Raw genomic sequence first — 5,033 nt, 5'->3', positions numbered from 1 at the left:
CAACATTCAAAGCAAGCTCTCTGTTTTCAGGATGGAACGGTTCCCAGGGCGCTGGCACTTCCATTGGCAGCAGCAGAAGAACCAAAATAGGACACACCAAATGGATCTAATTTTGCCTGAACCTCGGTCTGCAAGGTTTGGGGGTACACCCTGGGGGAGGATCAGAGCTGGGTCCAGAGGGGCCTTTGCTCTCCCTCCTTGCTCCTTCTACCTTCACCCCATTTGACGAGCTGTGCCATGTCAGGGCTTGGCTCCATAGTGCTGGTTTTAAAAAGGCGCCTCACTCATAGCTATTCAGATTTCAGAAATAAATGCTCTACACCACTGATCAAAACGCCTGGAGTCAACAGAGCCGGTGACATCTTAAGAAATGCACCCGGTACTTAAGGCTTTCTTCTTAATTATACATGTTCAAATCATAGACAGATTTTCTCCTTCTGGTCCTGAATATCGGAGCTGCCAAATCCAATTGAATCATCTTCTTTTAAATGCATTTTGCAGTACGCGTTTCGCCGTTTTCCCAATTTCCATTGTAAACGAGCACCAGAATTGTGCTGAGGGCCCTTTTCTTACAGGCTGCATTATTCAACCAGCAAATGAAGAAAGGAAAGTGCTGATTGCAAAAGAATTAAAAAATGGTCCCGGGCGGCCTCTGGGTTTGGCTAGGGCTTGGGTGCAGCCAGGCCCAGGAACTATCTTTGTTAGGGGGTTTGGATCCTTTTACCCCATGCAGGGACAGAGAGAGGAAGGTGTTTCTCCTAGGAGGGCATGGCCATTCTGAATGAGCCGGCTCTGAGGCTGGCTTCCAGGGCTGGGCAGGCAGGAGAGCCGTGGATGTCTGCAGGCCTGTTGTCATTGTATCACCACTGTCGTCAGCGTACAAGCCACATACTGTAACTTCTGGGGCGTCCTGGTTCAGAAGCCTGGGGAATGTGGCTGTGGATCCCCCGGGGAATGCCTTCTGATGGGCTGTACTCACCATCAGTGCCCTTCTCCACCAGCTGTGCCCACTGGTTCCATCTCCCCTGGGGTGAGAATGGGAGGTGATGGACTCTTAGACTTAGGGTGGTGACAGTAGCTGGTGGTGGAGGAGCAAGCCAGGAACCCAATGCCTGGAAGTCTGCTGAGGTTTGTCTTCCATTTCTCGCTTTCCATTCTCTTTCTGCTCAGGCGGAACTCCATTGTCAGCACACACTGTGGTTCTTTGCCTGTGTGGTGTGGTCTGCGTTCTCCTTTCCAATCACTTTCCACTTGCTGATTTCACTAAAGGCCAAAGCCCAGTGCAGTTATCAGAGCAGAGGTCTTTGGGCCCATTTTACAGAGAAGAATGTGCCTTTGCATCAGACAGGGCTCTGGATCCCAGCTGTCCCCTTAGGCAAACCAATTAACGTCTCTATTCTGCAGGCTGCTAATCTGTAAAGTGGGGGTAGAGACGATGCAGAGATTAAATGGATTCGCCCTTGTAAGGCGCCCAGGGTAGTGCCTGGCAAAGAGTGAGTGCTCAATCAGTGTTAGCTCTTGTCACAAGCTCTTGGGACATCACACAGCGTGGTGGGGGCAGAGCTGAGGGTGGAGCCCAGCCGTCCTGCACTCAGGCAAGGCTCCTCGGCCCCGCATCCATTCACCTGCTCACATGTGCGCACCATTTCTCCTTCTGTTTCGCAGGATCATGATTTGCCATCTGGGCACAAGCTTAGGGAAGCTCTGGGAACAGCTCTACTCCCAGAAAGCTGGGTGAAAATCAACTAGACCCAGCAGGGAAGTCTCCGCGTTGATCAGTGGGGCCTTGCTGGGCTGCCCTCCCAGTCCCCACAGGTGTTCCAAGGAGGGGCCTGAACACCAGGCTCTGGAAAACCTGAGGATGATGTTGCTGGAGTTGGTGCCGGGGCTCGCTCTAGGACAGGCGTGGGCTCCTCCTCTCCACTGGTGAGTGCTGGCTCTTGCCTGCCCTGCTGCAACCTCTCGCCTCCATCCTGTTGTATGTAACCACCCTGAGGAGGCCTGGGCCCCACCCGCCGGCCAGCTCCCTGTCATAGCTGGGCCTTGGAAGCAGATGGTTTGGTGTCCTGTGTCATATCCTCCAGCTGACTTGGAATTTCAGCCCTAGCTGTGGTGGGCAGTGTCCAGGTACACTCACAAGCTCCCACGGCTGGCACCATCGCGTGCTTTCCTTTTATATTCTGGATTTTTCCTCCAGCTGCTGGGGTTGCCACCTGGAGTGCATGGCAGCCCAGAAATGCAGGGGAGCTGACATCCTTGGGGGTGGGAGGTGGTGGATGAATGTCTCAGCCTCCTGATCTTCTGGGGGGCGATTCCGAGGCCCATGCTGCCTGGTTCCCCAGCAGAACTGAGGTCAGTTGCCACAGCAGGGATGCTATTTGATGCACTCTCTGTTGGCTTCTCCTCATCCCTCACTCTTCCTGCTTCTGCACACCTGCTAATGGACATTCTACATTTTTTTTTTTTTTTTTTTTTGAGACAGAATCTCCCTCTGTCGCCCAGGCTGAAGTGCAGTGGTGTGATCTCAGCTCAATGCAACCTCTACCTCCTGGGTTCAAGCCATTTTCCTGGTGCAGCTTCCTGAGTAGCTGGGATTACAGGCTCCTGCCACCACAACAGGCTAATTTTTATATTTTCAGTAGAGAAGGGGTTTCGCCATGTTGGCCAGGCTGGTCTCGAACTCCTGACCTCAGGTGATCTGCCTGCCTCAGCCTCCCAAAGTACTGGGATGACAGGCATAAGCCACCATGCCCGGCCCATTCTATGTTGTTTAATCCACATTTTTTGTTTGCTTGATTCAAGGGCAGAGAAAAGTAAAAGCTGAGACTTTAATAAACTCGAAAAGTTACATAGTAAGTAGCAGAACCAGGAACTTAACTAGCTCTGATTTAGCTCTTTTATATTTAACCACCTCAGGGCAGCACCACTGAACTACTCTACACTTAAGGACCAGGCTGATCCTGCTGGGTCTGAACTGCTACCAAGTTGCCCCCACTGGGTCACTCTCTCCTCACCTCCCCAGCTAAGTAGATGTCAGCCAGGGCTTAGGCTTGAGACATTGGCATGAGTATCTCTTTCTCTACATTTATTATTTAAAAACACATGCACAGTTGCAGAGAGGGAGCAATCGAGCCCTGAGGTTGTGGTTTTTTCAGGGGTATGTGACTTCCATCCCTCCATCCCCCATATCACCTCATCCAGAGCCTTGCACATAGCAGGGTTCGATGTGTCTGTCAAATGATTGAACGTAGTAGTCACAGCTGATCAGAGGGCTGGGGGAGCCCTGTGAAGCACCCCCAAACCTGCCCTGAAAGCAGTGGGCAGGCTCAGCTACATAGTTGGTAGAGCCCAATTTAAAATGGGGCCGGGTGTGGTGGCTCACGCCTGTAATCCCAGGACTTTAGGAGGCCGAGGTGGGAGGATCACTTGAGGTCAGGAATTTGAGACCAGCCTGGCCAACATAGTGAAACCCTGACTCTACTAAAAAAAAATAAAAAAATTAGCTGGGCATGATGGCACACGCCTGAAGTCCCAGCTACCTGGGAGGCTAAGGCGGGAGAATCGCTTGAACCTGGGAGGCAGAGGTTGCAGTAAGCTGAGATTGGGCCACTGCATTCCAGCCTGGGCAATAGAGTGAGACTTGGTCTCAATAAAAACCAACAAACAAAACAAAACAAAAAAACAAAAATAAAAGATAAATAAAATGAAAATGTAGGGATCCTTACTCAAAAAGGAAAAAAAAAGCTTGTTCCTTTCTCTTACTGTCTTTCTCTTCTACCCATCATGATGTTTATATTTGTTGTAAGTTTCCCTCCTTCAGTATGGGGATATCTGTGGGGTGACTGCAGATGCCCACAGATGCTTGGGGCCCCACTTCACAATTTGGTCCATGGGGTACACACCTCCGCAATGACCCTCTGGCACCCCAGTTTGCCACAGGGGGATGGCAGGGCAGCAGCAGTTGCTGGAGGAGGTGGAGTTAGCAGCTGAGAATCATCCCAGGGAGGTGTGGAAACAGAGGGAGGGGCCCCCACCCAGGGGCCCCAAGCCCCCAAGAATGCTCCACTGTCCCATTGACTTCGCTTACTAATCACGAGTTCAAAGATAGATAGATAGATAGTTTTTATTTTGTTTGGTTTTTTTTTTTTTTTTTGAGACAGAGTCTCAATCTGTTGCCCAGGCTGGAGTGCAATGGCAAGATCTCGGCTCACTGCAACCTCCGCCTCCCAGGTTCATGCCATTCACCTGCCTTAGACTCCCGAGTAGCTGGGGCTACAGGCACCCGCCACCACGCCTGGCTTTTTTTTTGTTTTTGTATTTTTTAGTAGAGACGGGTTTTCACCATGTTAGCCAGGATGGTCTCGATCTCCTGACCTTGTGATCCGCCCGCCTCGGCCTCCCAAAGTGCTGGGATTACAGGCGTAAGCCACCGCGCCCGGCCTTTTTTAAAAAAATTTTTTTTTGAGGCGGAGTTTCGTTCTTGTTGCCCAGGCTGGTGTGCAGTGGCACAATCTCAGCTCACTGCAACCTCTGCCTCCCGCACTCAAGCTATTCTCCTGCCTCAGCCTCCTTAGCAGCTGGGATTACAGGCACGCGCCACCATGCCTGGCTAATTTTTGTATTTTTAGTAGAGACAGGGTTTTGCCATGTTGGCCAGGCCGGTCTCGAACTCCTGACCCCAGGTGATCTGCTCGCCTCAGCCTTTCAAAGTGCTGGGATTACAGGTGTGAGCCACCGTGCCCGGCCTTAAAGATAAAATTATCAAGTTTTAAGAAGGTGACTTCAGAGGATCAAACTCCAAGCATGGGGCCCCCTCTGACTGCAGACCCTGGGTGACACTGCATTGGTCACATGATCAGGAAGCCGGCCTGGGCAATGAGTCTTGGAGCGTGGATACTTTAGGAGGTGTGTGTGTGTGTGTGTGTGTGTGTGTCACTCTTTCTCCCTGGCTACTTGGCAGTTGGCATTTCTTTGCACACACAAGATTCCCTGGGTTACTCCCACTGGCTCAGTGCCCAGGAGATTCAGTCTTC

General features: G+C 51.4%; 1 annotated feature.

Moving 5' to 3' along the window:
* Positions 840–1,340: an enhancer, noted in NCBI's record as "H3K4me1 hESC enhancer chr17:72037304-72037804 (GRCh37/hg19 assembly coordinates)". NCBI's record gives its function as "activates a minimal SCP1, AML or CMV promoter by ChIP-STARR-seq in primed H9 embryonic stem cells {active_cell/tissue: H9 hESC(primed)}" and the evidence as "EXISTENCE:reporter gene assay evidence [ECO:0000049][PMID:30033119]".

Source organism: Homo sapiens, chromosome 17 (assembly GCF_000001405.40).
Source record: "Homo sapiens chromosome 17, GRCh38.p14 Primary Assembly".
NCBI classification, from domain to species: domain Eukaryota; kingdom Metazoa; phylum Chordata; class Mammalia; order Primates; family Hominidae; genus Homo; species Homo sapiens.
The sequence above is the reverse complement of the archived record's forward strand: the minus strand, read 5'-3'. Positions and strand labels throughout refer to the sequence as shown.